This window comes from Homo sapiens, chromosome 17, assembly GCF_000001405.40.
Source record: "Homo sapiens chromosome 17, GRCh38.p14 Primary Assembly".
NCBI classification, from domain to species: Eukaryota; Metazoa; Chordata; class Mammalia; order Primates; family Hominidae; genus Homo; species Homo sapiens.
This window is the reverse complement of record NC_000017.11, coordinates 72700315-72718320: the sequence shown is the minus strand read 5'-3', so window position 1 is coordinate 72718320 and position 18006 is coordinate 72700315. Positions and strand designations below refer to the sequence as shown.

Here is an 18006-nt window from a genome sequence, read left to right as displayed (position 1 = left end):
ATTACAGGCGCCTGCCACTATGCCCAGGTAATTTTTTTTTCTCTTTTTAGTAGAGGCGGGGTTTCACCAGGTCTCAAACTCCTGACCTCAAAAGATCCGTCCGCCTCAGCCTCCCCAAATGCTGAGATTACAGGCATGAGCTGCTGCCCTCAGCCCAGATGCTTCTTTAAAATCAAACCTCATTTGGCTCATTACGAAATGCAAGCCTAGGTAAAAAATCCACAGTGAGGGACAGATAGAGATTTTGTATTCGGTGTTAACTGGAAGCAAATATTTCTGTTAAAGATGGTTTTGAGTGTTGCTCCAGATGAGTGTTACTTTGGTAAGAACCATAACCCTTGCCAGTGCCGCCCAGCAGTGAGATACCGGGGGCAGGAAGGGGGAAAGAAGGGAAAACTCCAGACAGGTGGTACTGAGGTGATCTGGTGGCCTTGCGGTCATGACTCACTTCTCCAGCCTCACCTCCTAGACAGCCGATGTGCAGGGTCACTCCGAGGGAGAGCTACAGAGCAAGAGTGACCTGTCCTGTAAGTTCCAGAATAAGGAGCGATGCTGAAGTCATGCACCCCAGAAAGGTATGGAAGTCTTAATCCCCAGGACCTGTGACTGTAACCTTATTTGGCGGTAGGATCTTTGCAGATGTAATTAGTTAAGATCAGCTCGTACTGGATTAGGGTGGGCCTAAGTCCAACATGACTGGGTACCCTTATAAAACAAGGAGGGATGACACATGCGGAGAGGACAGTGCCCCGTGGCCACACAGGGACACGTGGAGGGAAGACGGCCTTGTGGTAGTGGAGGCAGAGACTAGAGTCATGTGTCTAGAAGCTGGGGAATGCCACCAAGTGCCAGGGCCACCAGAAGCTGGAAGAGCCGAGGGAGGATCCTCCCCTAGAGCCTTCAGGGGGAGCATAGCCCTGCGGACAACTTGATCTTGGACTTCTGGCCTCCAGGGCTGTGAGAACAAATCCCTGTGGTACTTCATCACAGCAGCTGTTAAGAAACCAGGGCATCGGGTCTCCCTACCTCCATCGGCGTCTTCTCTGTCCCTGAGGTCCTCTCTTAGCTTTCTCCACTTCCTCTCACAGTTGGACGCAAAGCCCCAAGGCCACTTTTTTTTCCTCTTTTTAAATTTTTTAAAATTTTTATTTTTATATATATGTATATACATATATATACACATATAAGTATATACATATATACATATATACATACACATATAAGTATATACATATATACATATACTTATATGTGTATATATGTATATATGTGTATATATATTTTATATGTGTATATGTGTGTGTGTGTGTGTGTGTGTGTGTGTGTGTATATATATATATTTTTTTTTTTTTGAGACAGGGTCTCCCTCTGTTTCCCAGGGTGGAGTGCAGTGGCATCGTCTTGGCTCACTGTAACCTCCACCCCCTGAGTTCAAGCAATTCTCATGCCTCAGCCTCCTGAGTAGCTGGGATTACAGGCACCTGCCACCACGCCCAGCTAATTTTTGTATTTTTTGTAGAGATGGGGTTTTACCATGTTGGCCAGGTTGGTCTCAAACTCCTGTCCTCAAGTGATCCGCCCACCTCGATTTCCCAAAGTACTGGGATTACAGGCGTGAGCCACCACACCGGGCTCTGAGGCCACTTTTTCATCCATATTCTTCTCTGTGCCTCTGCATGTGTGTTCCCCATCCCTTTGGTAACTTCTATTTTTTATTTCAGGAGTGGGTTAAAGTTTCCGATTTTTTTTTTCCTTATACTCTCTCAGTTCAGTCTGGACCAACTTGGAGAAGAGCGGCGGCTTTCCCTCCCTTTTTCTGTGGCCGCCTTCAGACGCTGGCCCATGGGAGAGTCAGGGCTGTCCCCCGTATTGGAGCTATTAAACTGTCGTAAGAAAGGGGCCTTTGTCACGGGAAACACGTTACTCAGCTCAGTCATAGAGACAGACTGTGCCAGAAAACAAACAACAAAAAAAAAAAGGTTCAACCACAGCATTCTTTGGGACTTCAGTCATCCGCCTCCCGCTTGTTCTTAAAAGACGAATTTCCTTTCTTCCGTGTAATTCCATCAGATAGGTCGTCAGGTTTTCATTCTGTCCAGAATGGAGTGCTGGGGGCCCTACCCTGCCATCTGCCAGGGGCCTCTGCCCAACACCCCGCTTGTATGACCTCATGCCTGCAGGTTGGGAATGCAGGGGGGCTCCCTTGGGCCTTTTTGGGGTGGGTCAGGGAGGGTGCGAGGAGAACGAGGGCGGGAGTTAGGTATTTTTTCACACTTACCATGACCTGTCTGTGCACTTAAAAATTGATCAAGATGGTACATTTTGGCCGGGCACGGTGGCTCACGTCTGTAATCCCAACACTTTGGGAGGCTGAAGCGGGCGGATCACTTGAAGTCAAGAGTTCGAGTCCAGCCTGGCCAACATGGTGAAACCACGTCTCTACTCAAAATACAAAAATTACAGGTGGCACATGCCTGTAATCCCAGCTACTCAGGAGGCTGAGGCACGAGAATCGCTTGAACCCGGGTGGCGGAGGCTGCAGGGAGCCAAGATCACAGCACTGTACTCCAGCCTGGGTGACAGAGCGAGACTCCACCAAAAATCAAAAATAAAAAAAGATGGTACATGGTATGTTATGTATACATTAATCATTAGGCACTAACTCCCCATTCCTTATCTCCCCCCAGCCCCTGGCAACTGCCATTTTCTTTCTGTCTCTATGAATGTGACTCCTCTAGGGACCTCATAGAAGTGGCATCACACAGTATTTGTCCCTTTGTGTCCGTCCTATTTCACTTAGCATAATGTCCTCAGGGGTCATCATGTTGTAACGTGTCATAATTTTCTTCCTTTGAAGGCTGAACAATATTAGGTTGCACGGATGCATCATTTTGTTTGTTCATTCGTCTGTCCATGAACACTTGGGCTGTTTCACCATTTAGCTCTTGTGAATAGTGCTGCTTGTGAACATGAATGTAAGAATATCTCTTCAAGACCCCACTTGAGGTTCTTTGGGGTATATGGCCAGAAGAGGCATTGCTAAATCATTCGGTAATTTGATTTTTAATTTTTTGAAGAACTTAGTCATGGTGCATCTTATCTGCCTTGTAACATCGTGCCCTTGGGCAGAGGGGTACTTCCTGGAGGAGAGAGCCTCTCGCGGGCTCCCGGGGCCCCTTTCGTGGCTGGGTGCATGAGATGTATGCAGCCAACCCTTACCTCCTCCTGAGTGCAGACCCTGGGATGCTGCACTGGTCGCACACCCGTGGAGTTGGCCCTGAGTGAGAATAGACATCACGAGAGGAAAAATTGTGAGCGTGAAGGGGCTACATGGATGCAAGATGCGAGGTGAAGTGGTTTTGAATATGTACGTGTAAAGATCCTTGATTCCATGCTTTTCCACCAACTGCTGTTTAAACAAATGAACCTCTCACTATTAGCTTCACAAGTACGGCCACGTTCCTTCTTCAGCCAGGCAGGTGAAACACTCCATGAACCCAGATCTGAAACAGGGCAGTCCACAGGAGGTGAACAGCTGCAGACCATGTCATCCGCCTTCCTGACAGGTTTGGGGACAGCCCCATAATCACAAAAAGGTGGTGTTCTCTGGTCTTTACCAAGGAGGCTCAACACAGACACGGTGTGCAAACTCAAGCTCTTTCTCCTTGTTAAGGATCAGGTTCCTCATCTGTAAATGGGATTTCCTGAAGGGGTAAATGAAAGTGGAAGGAAAGCCCTTGGGTGGTACTGGTTGCGTAGCAGGCACTCAGCAGGAGGTGGATGTTGACACTGTCAGCAGCAGGGTTATGAACTTGGCTGCTGCGCTTCTTACCTGCTTCCTTCCTTTTTTGGCGACCCATTATTGAACAGTATTAGCCTGGTGCAAAAGTAATTGCAGTTTTTGCCATTTCATTGGCAAAAACCGCAATTATTATTATTTTTATTAATTTTTTTTTTGAGAGAGAGAGAAAGAGCCTTACTCTGTTACCCAGGCTGGAGTGCAGTGGCGTGATCTCAGCTCACTGCAACCTCCGCCTCCCAGGTTCAAGCGATCCTCCCGCCTCAGCCTCCCAAGTAGCTGGGAGTACAGGTGCGCACCACTACACCCAGCTAAGTTTTGTATTTTTAGTAGAGACGAGGTTTCACCATGTTGGCCAGGCTGGTCTCGAACTCCTGACTTCAGGTCATCCACCCGCCTCGGCCTCCCAAAGTGCTGGGATTACAGGCTTTAGCCACCGCGCCCGGCCTGAGCCACTGCACCCAGCCAAAACCCACAATTTTGCGGCAAACCTAATATCTATGCACGGCCTTTGTGGTGGACTGTAGATCTAAATTTGAGGTCCCTGACGTTATTATTTACCAGCTGGGTGAGCTTTGAAATGTCATTTCACTTCTCTGGGCCTCAGTTTGCTTTTTTAAAATCTGTATAATGGGCCTATGAATGGCTCCAGGGTCAAAGTGTTGGGGGATTCAGCGAGAGTGCACTTGAAAAGCATCTAGCACAGCCCTGGAATGAGAGAAGTTATAGCTGTTATTATCACCCTCAGATGAGGGATGGCAGGGAGGTGATGGAAGAACATTGCAGGGGAAGGATTTGGTTTTACCATTTTGTAAGTATAATAAAATCAGCTAGACTTGGGGTCCAATTAGATATAGGGGTTGAGAATGGCTAGAAACCCCTCCCAGTTTTTTTTATGTGTACAGCTAGTTGGCTATTAATACCTTTCGGAGAGATTGGGATCCAGAGGAGGAGGAGGAAGAAGAAGAGTTTGATGACTGAGTTAAGGGCAATGTATGAGAACCCTTCGGGTTTCACTCTGTTGACCTGGCAGTCACTAATCTGTATTAAGGGTAATGTGGTTTGTCTAGGACAGTGGTGTGGGGCTGCTGCCTCCCCCTGGAAACTCTCCCATCTACACCCTGGCTGGGAGTGCAGGAGGAGCTCCTGCTTTGTAAGATGCGGGCCCACTATCAAGGTGACCAAGGGCCTTTGTGGATGGAGAAACAGGGAGATGCTGCTGCTCACCTGTGCTTGGCTCCCACCTCGTTACCCAGTTTCTGACCCAGGCTTTAGGACTGTGGCTCCTAATCTTTCAGCCGAGATTCTTACCCTGTTACAAACCTGGTCTGTGGATCCAGAAGTCTCCACCACGAACTCCACGGGCTAAGTCTTATCACCCCGGGCTTCAATGCCATGTCTTGCCTGCTCGAACCTGCTTCTTCCTGTTTACCTTCCCCTGTACCTGGACTCTTAGGACTGTCTTGTCTGCTTGAATCTTGAGCTGCTAATCCATCCTTCCTTATTGGCACTGACTTTTCCATTGCCCCCTCATCTGCAGGGTCTTGAACTTGGTTTCCTGCCCTGGACTTAACCTGCCTTCCTGACACCGACTGACTTCACCTCTCCCCATGCCCTCATGTCATGTCTTATCTGTTCCTATTGTGGATCCGGGATTCCTTGGCCTGTCCCTTGGCCTGCTGCTGATCATATCTCCACTCTGACCCACAATATAGATTTTCAAGGTAAAAATTTTTTTAAAAAATGTTTCACTCTGTTGTCTAGTAAAATACATGAATGTGTATCCTTTGACTAAGGGTCTTTGTGGGTGAGGAAACAAGGAAGCACCGCAGCTTTCTAGGGGAGGGTTACCTTCAAGCTTCGTGGAAAGTTCCTCATGTCGCCTGGCAAAGCACTGGACACCTTTCAAAGCACACTGAAAATTCTAACATCAAAACTCACAAACACTGCTTTCTGGTAAGGCCATCCAAAATTTTAGGTGGATCCAAGACATCCTGCAAGTGTTCTCTCCATATTGCCTTTCAGATCACCTTCTATTAAAAAACAAAAACTCTATTAACTGAAACTCAGTAGAAGCTTTCAAAAAAAATAAAGGGAGGGTTGACCTTTGTTGTTATTTTTCTTTGGTCTTTCAAGATGGAGTGAGAACTGGCCTCTAGTGTTTGGTAAATACCTTACGCTGCCCAGCAAGGTTGACTGTGTTATCCCCCGGCAGGCTAGCTCAAATAGGCAGGCAGGCCCTGCCACAGGCAGATGAAAACAGGGAGAAGAAGTCCACATATGTCACATGTCTTTGGAGCCTGTCCCCTGTCTGTCTTCCTTCTTGAAGACCCAGTCCTTTCTCTATAGGTCTCTGGCTCAGCCCATCTGCTCCCTCTCAGCTTAATGACAACAACTTTGAGTCTTCTGAAACAAATGTGCTTGCATGGGGAGGCAACAGTCTTTGTCCCACCTCTGCCAGCAGACCTTGTAGGACAAGGCATCAGTCTAATCCCTCACTAAGCCCTGTGCTTTGCAGCCTTCATTTTAACTGCTTCTGTTCAAGGTACAGAAGCATTTTCTCAAATTAAGGGCCTTTCCATCAATCTAGAAAGCAGGAGACAGAGAAAGGTTCTTTTCTTGCACAAGTCTGTTCCTTTCCATTTCTGGCTGTTCATGTCTTTCGTTAGAATTTTCTAAAAGTGAGCACATGCCACACTTCTGAATTTTTCCTACAGAAAAATTCCCCCCAGAGCTATGACCATCAAGGGGCAGCCAGGGGAGATGTCACTCACGGTGTTGCTCAACCTGATGGGAATCTCCAGCTTTGCAGCCTAAATGTTCCTGTGTCCCCACCGCCTGCACTCAAGGGCTTCCAGGAAGCTGTTGCCCCATGGTTAGGTCTTGTTACTTGCAGTACTTCACTTACAGTGCCAGTTCTGTAGTATTTAGAATATGGGTTTGCTCTTTGTAACAGAATCCAAATTTATAATGGTATAAATAAGAAGTTGATTTCTCTCTCACCTAGAGTTAAGTAGCATGACACCACGGTCATCTGTGACTTAGATTGTGTCTAGATTTCTACTTTACCATCTCTAGCCCCTTGGTCCACAGTGGTACTCGGCCATCATTTCCACATCCCAAATAGTGGGATGGAGGCAGAGGGAGTAAAGAAGAAATACACTTCCCCCCTTTAAGGACCTGTCCGGAAGTTGCACCCGTCTTTTCCCCTTCACATTTTTTTGGCCAGAAGCTTAGTTACATGTTCTCACCTAGCTGCAAGGGAGGCTGTCTTTATTCCATGCAACCATGTGTCCAGCCAAGGATCAGGGATTCTTTTCCTATTGAGGAATGGATAAGGGAATAATGAGCAGAGCCTGCCTTAGGCAACCAGGCTGAGTCCTGAGGATTGCATAAGAATTAGGCAGGCAGGTGGGGAAGGAGGAAAGGGAGAGGCTGCAAAGGTAGGCAGGACCCACATCATCAGAGGCCTTGCATGCTGTATGAAGGTTGTGCAATTCTGTCGCAAGAGCAAAGCAGAGACACTAAAGGGCTTTAAAAGGGGGAGGGAGGATGTGATTGGAATTGTATTCTAGAAGCTTCACTTTGGGCCATTTGGTTTAAAATAGCATCTTGCCAGAAGCCCTGTGTGAAGACATTAAAATGATGAAAACTTGCTCAACAATGCTAAAAATAAAGACAGCAACATCTGGGCAGAATTTCCCCTAATTTTAAAGCCAGTAGTGGAGGTGGAGGAAGAAAAATCAAATTCTCATTCAACTAAAATAATCTAGGAAGACACTACGTGGCTTCTTGGAAATAAAATCAACAATTTATAAGATTTATAAGGTGGAGATTGTCTTAGTTCATTCATGCTGCTACAACAAAATAGACAGGGTAATTTATGAATAGTTGAAATTTATTTCTCACAGTTCTAGAGGCTGTAAAGTCCAAGATCAAGGCACCAGAAGATTCTGTGTCTGGTGAAGGGCTTGCTCTCTGCTCCACAAATGGCACCTTGTTGTGTCCTCATATGGCAAGAGGGCAAAAAAGACTTGGGTGTTCCCTTCAACCTCTTTTATAAGAGCACTAATCTCATGCTTGAGGGTGGAGCCCTCATGACTTAATCACTTCCCCAAAAGCCCCACCTCTTAATACTACTGCACTGGGTCTTTGGTTTCAACATATGAATTTTGGAGGGACATACACATTCAAGCCAAAGCAGAGATGAAAGAATAACAGGATGTGATTCAAAGAAAACAAATCAAGGTGAAAACAAAGGTGGGTGGATTTAAAAAATGAGAACCACAGGGGAACTGAAATCATGGTGCCAGAGTAGAAAGTCACTGGCAGGAGATAAGAACAGCACTGGCATTGTAGAAAAGCATGCTGGCTGTATGAAAGAAAAATGATATATTCTCCCTGTAAGCAAAGGACGAAGAGGGAAATTAAGAGAGACAGGGGAAGCAATAGGTGTGGTTGGCAGAACAGATGACCCAGAGACTTCTGCATGTTCCTCAAAGAGCAACCAGATCAATTTGAACAGGAGCAACAATCAAAATTATAATTGAAAATAAAACCTCTGGAACCTGAGGGGAAAATAATCTGAGGATGCAGCTCAAAAGAAATCAACCACATTTTAGTTGAATTTAATGAAAAGAAAATTGCAATGTGACATATCCTGGGAAAACTTTTGAGTTGCAGATACATAAAATATCACAAAACCATCCAGATAGGAAAAGCAGGTTACTTATAAAAGAGTTAAGTTCAGGTTGATCAGCAATTAGAAGTGAAAAGGGACATTCACTGAAAGGATACAGGAAATAGGGGCAAGAAAATCTTCAGCTTCATGAACTGAAATTGAACCTGGAAAGTTCTCTCTCTCTCCCTGTCTCTCTCATACACTTACGTGCACACACACAAACTTCCTTCATCATTTCTTTGCCCAACAGCCATTGTCCATTGAATACCTTTTTCTTTATCAAGTTTTAATTAAGTGAGAAGGAAGATATTTGGCTCAGCTCATCTCTGTTCAAGGAGAAACCCTCAAGCAATAGGTGAAAGAGCAGCCTATACATCAGATCTCTTGAGGCAGGTGTCCACACCTGGGCCAATTGGTGAGCACACCTATCAAGAAAGAGCTCAAGCCAGGCATGGGGACATGCACTTGTATTCCCAGCACTTTGGGAGGCTGAGGTGGGAGGATCACTGGAGCCTGAGCAACATAATGAGACCCTGTCTCCACAATAAAAAAGCACTCAGCTATTTCCTCATCAGGCAAGTGAGTTTAAAAAGAAAAAGGCTTGGCCGGGCGCGGTGGCTCACGCCTGTAATCCCAGCACTTTGGGAGGCCGAGGTAGATGGATCACGAGGTCAGAAGATTGAGACGATCCTGGCTAAGATGGTGAAACCCTGTCTCTACTAAAAAATACAACAAAAATTAGCTGGGTGTGGTGGCAGGCGCCTGTAGTCCCAGCTGCTCAGGAGGCTGAGGCAGGAGAATGGCATGAACCTGGGAGGCAGAGCTTGTAGTGAGCCGAGATCGCGTCACTGCACTCCAGCCTGGGCAACAGCGCGAGACTCCGTCTCAAAAAAAAAAAAAGAAAAGAAAAAAGGCTTTGCCTAGGTTTCTCAGAAAACAGAGCCAAAGGCAAAGTTCATGCGTTATGAGTTGTGAGCAGTGTGCTGCCGCAGAAGCAAAAGTGAAAAGGAAGTGAACAACACAGGAAGGCAAGAAAGCAAATCCAAGGCTTATCATTGAGCTAGCTACAGCTTCTCAAAACAAGTCAATCTTGATGCTCAGTCATGGGTTGGGAAGAATATCTTCAAGGAGACTGAATGGAACTGCTGAGTGAACTCTCCTTGGAAAGGGCAGAGAGATTGTAGAAGAATGGAGAAGCAATGCTGTGGCCATGGGTCTTCCTGAACTTGGGGGTCCCTGAGACCATCCCCGATATTAGGAGATGAGGTAACAGGCTGTAGGCAAGAATGACATGATGTACCAGTCAAGGTTCTCTGGAGAGACAGAACCAATAGGATGTGTATATATAGAAAGAGATTTGTTACGAAGAATTTGCTCATGTGATTATGGGAGCCAGCAAGTCCAAATTCACACAGTGGGCTGGCAGATTCAAGACCCAGGAGAGTTGATGGTGTGGTTCTAGTTCAAAGGCAGTCTGCTGGAGAGTATTTTTCCTTTTCCTACTTGGTGGTGGATCAGTCTTTTTGTTCTATTCAAGCCTTCAACTTACTTGGATGAGGCCCACTTAGATTCAGGAGGGCAGTCTGGCCTACTGTACCAATTAAAATGCTTATCTCATCCAAAAGCCCTCACAAAAACACCCAGAATGTGTGACCAAATATCTGGGCACCTCCTGGCCCAGTCAAGTTGACACATAAAATTAACCATCACACATGAGAATTGCTGGGGCTGCTCAAGCAGGATACAGGGCAAGTGGCCAATGTCCAGAGTCCAGGAGAACCTCGGAACTGGAGTGGAGCAGTCTGGTTCTGTACAATGGACTTGGCAAGCAGATTGACTACCATGTCTGGTACAAAATTATTATAGTGTAGTTATTGTTCTGCAGAAATTAGAATTGATTATGTGTTTATCTTTAAATTCTATTGACTTGCCTCTTACTGATAAAACCCTTATCGTTTAAACTGGTTGTCCTTTGAGGATATTTTTGCCATGCTTGAGAAGAATGGATAAAAAGAGGCTTCAAGGCTGAACTTTGGCTTTTGCTTGGCAATTATTATTCCATGCCGTACGCTTTGCCTTCCTAACCGTTTTCTCTTTGGTGGAAACAAGATGAACCCTGACTTAATATAACAGAACAAGGATGTGTACCCATGTGGATGTAGGGGTGCCAGAGGGAATGATCGGGACTTTGTGCAACTCGTAAATGTGGAGATGATGATGTGTTCATAGTTGCTTGATGACACAGGAGTTCTTCAATATTTCTCCTCCTTAAGTGATCTTTATTTGCTTTCCTGTCTGCCCTGCAGTACCACCAGTGTCTCCCTGCCTATACATGTATACATATTCTCACTTGGGACAGGTCCACATTGTGTCAGTTGTAATCAATATAGCAAAACTTATTTTCTTTGTTGTTTTTGAGACATCTGTCATTCGGGGTCTCTTTCTGTCTTGCTCTGTCATCCAGGGTAGAGTACAGTGGCATGCTCATAGCTCACTGCAACTGCCAACTCCTGGGCTCATATGATCCTCTCACTTCAGCCTCCAAAGTAGCTGGGATTACAGGTGTGGACCCCTACACCCAGCTACTTAAAGAAACATTTTTTGTAGCAATGGGGGTCTTCCTATGTTGCCCAGGCTGGTCTCTAACTCCAGGGCTCAAGCAGTCCTCCTGCTTCAGCCTCCCAAAATGCTGGGATTACACACATGAGCCATGATGCCCGGCCTAGCAAAATTGCTAATGAGATAGTTTACATTCTCTTTTTCATACTAACTCTCAAAAATCCACTGTATATTTACATTTACAGCACATCTCAATTTGGATTCACCATATTTCAGGTGCTCAACGGCCACACATAACCCATGGCTACCATATTGGATAGAGCCCGGCCCTAGAGCAGTGGTTCTAAACCTTGACTACACGTTGGAATCAAGTGGAGAACTTTCAAATACTGATGCCTGGGCCCTGTTACTCAGTGATTCTGTTTGAATTGTGTTGGGCTGGGGCCCAGGCTCTTCAGGTAGCTGTTGGGCAGACAGGATGAGAACCACTCTTCCATAGGGAGCACTCCCTGGGAAGGCAGATCCTCTTCCCTACTCTGGCCAGACCTCTCCCCCTTCTTCCCCATGAGACTTACATTGTAAACAGAAATTAAGCAAGCTCTAACTTGGGTCATGAGGGGAAGAAAAACAGAAGCAGGGTGGTATTAAATTCTTTCTGACAGGCAAGAGTGAACAAGCTGAATTCACTTGTCTCCTTGGGTCTGTTTACCAACAGGCTCAGTAATTATTTGTTTTGCCACTGCCCTTTAAGCTTGCAATGTGTTTCCCATTCTTTCTTTGCCAGAGTGTTCTTTGAGAATTGAGAATTCTTTAGGAACACTACAGAGTTGGCAAGACACGCCCCTGTGCTCCACTGGGAGTTTCCAAAGGGAAGGAAGGCATTCCATCAGGAATCCTGATTCCTGGAGAGAACTAAAGAAGTATATGAGACAGAAAATCAAGGATACTGTGACTTGTGTACAACCCATTTTTCTTTGCTTTAGACAAGCAAACTCCCCTTCTTCTCAAATAGAAACCAGTCCAGACAAACCGCAGAGACTCAAGTTTCTAAATGCATCTAGAAGAGATTGTTTCAGGGAAGTGCACAAATGAGACATGAATAATTCAATCAGAAGGAAAACAAACACGATGACACCCCACATCTGAAACCCAAGGTGTCGGCAGGCAGCTGTTTGCCGGTTCCAGCAGGTCCCAAACACCTGAGGCTCCATCTGGCCAGTTGGTCCCTCACACTTAAACTTCCCAAGATGGCAGAGAGCTGGCAGCCACGTGTCCTGGGGACCAGAAAATAGCTGAAAGTTTTCTGGGGGCCTTGGAATAAAAAATGTACAGAGAATAGAACCATTGGGAGGAAGAAATGTGCTTCCTTGATCTTTACTCTCTGGATCCAGGATTAATAAAGTAAGTAACTGGTCCAGGCAAAAGATTTTTGCTGTAGTGAATGTCGCACATTCACTACAAAGAGATGGAATTGTACCCGTTGTCGACGGTAGGCTCACAGTCTGATCCCTGGAGCTCAGAATGGAGCCCCAGCTGAACCACATGGACTGAGAGGTGAAGAGGGTTCCCCCAGGGAACTGCTGGGTCACATTAATGTAAGAGCAGGGACCTTCATACTCTTGGTCCTTCATGGTTGATTCCAAAATCCAACCTCCGCCATCGAGTTAGGTAGCCCTCTGTCTGCTAGGGTGCCACACCTTTGATGTTGACCTTCAGATGGAAGAGATGGGCCAACCCATTCACCCTTAATCCAGCCTGTCACCCAGATCCCATCGTTACAAGTGGCCAGCTGGTGTCAAGGGTACATTGTGGCTGTGGATGAGAGAATTGATGCAGCTGGGTAAATAACTTACACAGGAACCAATTCTATGAAATTACTGATAATAGTTGCAATCAGCTGTACTTATTAATATGGAACATATAAATTCAACCACATTCCTCATGTTCTACAAAAGTTTACATTCTCCTTTAAGATAAAGGTTGGGGGAGAGGGAGCAGGACCTTGATAACCGCCTTTTCCCCACTGTCTTCACTATAAAAGTATCATTATAGTGTACTTTTGCGTCTCCTTTAATGACATGTTTCTAGTTTTCATTTATATCATTTGCAAGACACAGAAACACAATTCATATTGTCCTAAACTAAAAAGAGAATTTACTGGTTCATGGACCTGAAGAGTCTGGGATGCTGGTTTCAGGCACAGTTTGGTCCAGAGGCTCAAATTATATCATCAGGTCTCTGCTTATTTTTTCTCTCCCTCAGCTCTGCTCTCTTCAGCATAGGCATGATTGCCCATTTCTAATGGTGTTAAGATGGCTTCCTGCTAATGACTCCAGCCCTATATCCTCCCAGGTTCAAGTCCAAACAAAATAGACCGTCTCCTCTCAATAGCTCCCTTGGAATCCTAATAGACCAACTTGGGCCACTTACTCCCTCTTGGACCAATCACTGTGGCTAGAGAGATGGAGTTGCACCCATTGTTCAGGGTAGGGTCACAGTTTATCCCTAGAGCTTGGACTGGAGCTCCAGCTAAACCACATGGACTGAGAGGGGAAGAGGACCCCCCAGGGAACTGCCAGGTCATGCTAAGGTATGAGAGGGGACCTTCATACCCCTGGTCCTTCATGGTTGATTCCATTGGTTTGTGGATAAAATGCACACAGATGGCGCTTTGGCTTTTTTGAGGGACAGCATCACTTTATGCATAGAGTCTACCATAAAATTCAGGGCCTTGCAGGACCCACTGAAAAGCGTATCAAATAAAAGGGATTTGTCAACATACATCCTCATCTTTACTGTTATTCCTTAGGACCAGTGAATCTAGCCGCATCTTTGACTTCTTTAATCTAAATGATGGGAAAACTGGGGAGCTGTTCTCCAGAAAGGGAGCCTAGCACCACATTAGAGCAAGGACCCTGAAGTCAGACTTCCTAGGTCCAAATCGAGGTGCTGCGATTTACTAGCTACATAGTCTTGAACAAGTGAATCGAGATCTCTGTACCTTGGTTTCCTCATCTGTCAGTGAGGGATGATAATAGTTTATCTCCCATAAGAAGATTACATGAACTAGCAAGTTGATATGTCTAAAATGCTCCATACAGTGTTTGGGCAAATAGCAGGTATGCTCTGGTAAAAATAATAGTTGTTGTTGTTTTGGAAAGAGTCTCACTCCGTCGTCCAGGCTAGAGTACAGTGGCATGATCGCAGCTCACTGCAACCTCCACCTCCCAGGTTCGAGTGGTTCTCATGGCTCAGCCTCCCAAGTAGCTGAGACTACAGGCGCATGCCACCATGCCCGGCTAATTTTTGTATTTTTAGTAGAGATGGGGTTTCACCATGTTGGCCAGGCTGGTCTTGAACTCCTGGCTTCAAAGGATTCACCCACCTCGGCCTCCCGAAGTGCTGGGATTACAGGCATGAGCCACCACCCCCGGCCAACAGTTTGTCTTATTTTGAGGTGGGTTCCTCTGTTTAGGGATCATCAAACAGAGAAATTAATTTCTAAGCCTCTCCCAAAGAGACACTGAGATAGAAGATAGCTAAACATCTCCTATGTTCATTCAGGTTCTTGGTTTCTGAAAACTCTGAGTTGATCTTGGTTGGCCATGGATGTTAACAGTTTTCCAAAATGGATTTAAGGACTGAATCTGTCTGGACTTCAGTTTGGCCATGGAGAAACAGATCATCAGAAAAGTGGGGGCAGGAAACCTTACTCTGTGTGTTTCACGGGCATATTGTCAAGACAAAGAATGTGGGTGACATGCTTGGAACCCTGTGGGGTATCGCCCCCCAACCCCCCATGTTACCTTTACCCCAGCAAGAAAATGCCCATTCAAAGGTGTTCTTTTGCTTACTGTGTCTCCTTATTATAATAGTTCTCCTATTTCTCCCCACACGGAACTGCTATAATTAAAAGGCCATCAGCTTTGCATATCATTACTTGGCTATAAAAATTTCTGCAAGTTGGAACTTGAGTGTAGAGGGATTTGGCTTTGATGCACAGGGTTTATGTTGCTGTCTTTCTCGCTCCTAAAGCACATACACACCAGCACATCAGTCCCACATGCAGGACTTTTCATTGCCTTGTGGTTTGGAAGGGATCCACTCCTGATGGAAACCCCCTAATATCTCAGGAAAAGCCTATAAAATAAACCCAAGTGGGAGGAAGAGGCAGACAGATGAAGACCTGCCAACCGACAGCTCTGGTGTCTGGTGATGGGGCGGTAAGGGAGCTTAGGAGATCAGGCAGCCCATTTATGTCTTCTTTCTTTCTGACTCCCAACCCCACAAAGACAGAGGGAATCAATTTTTTTTTTCCTTTCTTCCATTTTTTTTTTTTTTTGGTGAGATGGAGTCTCACTCTGTCACCCAGGCTGGAGTGCAGTGGCGTGATCTTGGCTCACTGCAACCTCCACCTCCAGGGTTCAAGCGATTCTCCTGCCTCAGCCTCCTGAGTAGCTGGAATTACAGGCATGCACCACCACACCTGGCTAATTTTTGTATTTTTAGTAGAGACGGAGTTTCACCGTGTTGGCCAAGCTGGTCTGGAACTCCTGACCTCAAGTGATCCACCCGCCTCAGCCTCCCAAAGTGTTGGGATTACATTTGTGAGCCACCATGCCTGGCTGGAATCCACTCTTAAAATTCCCTGGAAAAGAGGAATTCCCATACTCTCCCATGGACCCTTCCTGCTTTTGTGCAAATATGACTGCTAGAACTTGGCACTGTCGTGTACTTTGATGACTCATTTGGTAGAGTGGAAGACCGTCGGTCTCTAGAACTTGGCACTGTTGATCATCTGGTAGATAATTCTTTGTTGTAGGCGGGGGGTGCCCTGTGCATTAGCCTCTTCCCACTAGATGCCTTCCCCCTAGTTGTGACAACCAAAAATGTCTGCAGACATTGCCCACTGTTCCCTAGGGGTCCAAATTGGCCTGGTTGAGACCACCACCCTAGGTAGTACATGCTTCAAGCACTTGAAGGCCTACTATGTGCCAGCCACTGTGCTAGGTGCTGCCTAAAGAAAAAAACAGTAGCCTCCTATCTTTGGACTCAGTAGAACACAGGAAGATAGGGTTAGCTTGCGAGTTTATGAGAGCATGTGGATTGGTATATCCAAGGTTAGTGATCTGTCCACCCTGAGAAATGTCTATGTTCTTTTTTATTTTATTTTATGGAGACAGAGTCTCACTCCATTACCTAGGCTGGAGTGCAGTGGTGTGATCACAGCTCACTGCAGCCTCCATCTCCCAGGCTCAGGCAATCTTCCCACCTCAGCCTCCTGAGTAGCCAGGACTACAGGCAGGCACCACCACAGCTGGCTAATTTTTAAACATTCTATAGAGATGGGGTCTCTTTATATCACCCAGGCTGGTCTCAAACTTAACTTCTGGGCTCAAACAGTCCTTCCACCTCAGCTTCCCACAGTGCTGAGATTACAGGCGTGAGCCACCACACTCTGCGTGTCTATGTTCTTTTTTTTTTTCTTTTCCTTCCTTCCTTCCTTTTCTTTCTCTTTCTTTCTTTCTCTTTTTCTTTTTTTTTTTTTTTTTTTGAGACAGAATCTCCCTCTGTCTCCCAGGCTGGAGTACAGTGGTACAACCTCGGCTCCCTGCAACCTCCGCCTCCCAGGTTCAAGCAATTCTTGTGCTTCAGCCTCCCCAGTAGCTGGGACTACAGGCATGCACCACCACACCTGGCTAATTTTTGTATTTTTAGTAGAGACAGGGTTTCACCATGTTGGCCAGGCTGGTCTCGAACTCCTGACCTCAGGTATCTGCCCACTTCGGCCTCCCAAAGTGCTGGGATTACAGACATGAGCTACCATGCCTAGCCAGGTCTCTGTTCTTTAAACTGCATCACTCACTATCTCTTGAAAGAGCTCTTTCTGGCCCCACAGCCTTCCTGCTTAGCATCGCCACACAAGGAGATGGTCCCTCAACACCACGTCCTTGTGTGCCCTCCTCAGTGGAGAGCGGAGCTAGTTTTTGTCCTCCATAGATCCCCACTTCTGAGGCTTGATCAGCTTCCTCCACACCTCCCTCTCTTCAGGCGAAATTCCAGGTCTTTAACCTCCTGGAAGGCATTGTTGGCAGTGCCAAAACCATGCCAAACATCTGGGTGAGAACTGCAAAATGAGACCAGTTCTTCCAAAGTTTCCCAGCTCTGCCACTGGGATGGAATGTGATGGAAGGTGAATGTGGCCCCCAAGCACGTCGTCCCATCTGAGCTTGGTGGAGCTTCAGGCTGCAGGTTGTGCAGGGCCCACGTGTACCACGTGTGTCAGCCTGATATGGCTTGGCTATGTTCCCACCCAAATCTCATCTTGAATTGTAGCTCCCCTAATTCCCTTATGTTGTGGGAGGGGCCCAGTGGGAGATAATTGAATCATGGGGGTGGTTTCCCATATGCTGTTCTCATGGTAGTGGATAAGTCTCAGGAGATCTGATGGTTTTATAAGGGGAAACCCGTTTCGCTTGGCTGTCACTCTTCTCTTGTCTGCCGCCATGTGAGATGTGCCTTTCACCTTCTGCCATGACTGTGAGGCCTCCCCATCCACGTGGAATTGTGAGTCCATTAAATCTCTTTCTTTTGTACATTGCCCAGTCTTGGGTATGTCTTTATGAACAGCGTGAAAACGGACTAATACACAGCCCCACCTCTGTCTTACCCCTTTCTTGCCCTTGCCTTGGATTGCTTGTTCTGTCTCCTTCATTAAGGCCTGGGGACCCTGGGGGCAGGGCTGTGCATTCTGACTCCTGTGTCCCTTCCCTGGCAGTCCCCAGCCCCGCCTTTCATGGCGGTGTATCTTGGAGATGTTCAGAAACCACTGAATACATCCAGATGTTGGCTGTTGTATATAAAAATAGTTAAATGTCCTCCTGGCATTTTAGGTTTCCTTCAAACTGTATGTGATTCAGAAGCAGCTGTACTTACTGCCCAAAGATTAGATAGAAATGACTTTATG

The 18006-nt window shown here is 46.3% G+C and overlaps 1 protein-coding gene across 20 annotated transcripts in view; it reads left to right on the top strand.

Annotated features, from left to right (window-relative positions):
• SLC39A11 (solute carrier family 39 member 11) overlaps window positions 1-18006 on the top strand; it is a 446740-nt gene that overhangs the window by 374368 nt on the left and 54366 nt on the right. For 4 of the 20 annotated variants that reach the window (XM_017024342.2, XM_006721759.2, XM_047435575.1 and 1 more), the window contains one exon: window positions 5340-5582. The exons of the other annotated variants lie outside the window; for them this stretch is intronic. In XM_017024342.2, coding sequence (XP_016879831.1) covers window positions 5340-5385 — 46 coding nt within the window. In that variant the 3' untranslated portion in view covers window positions 5386-5582. Of the gene's footprint in view, window positions 1-5339; window positions 5583-18006 lie in introns of those variants that run through there. 20 annotated transcript variants of the gene reach the window in all.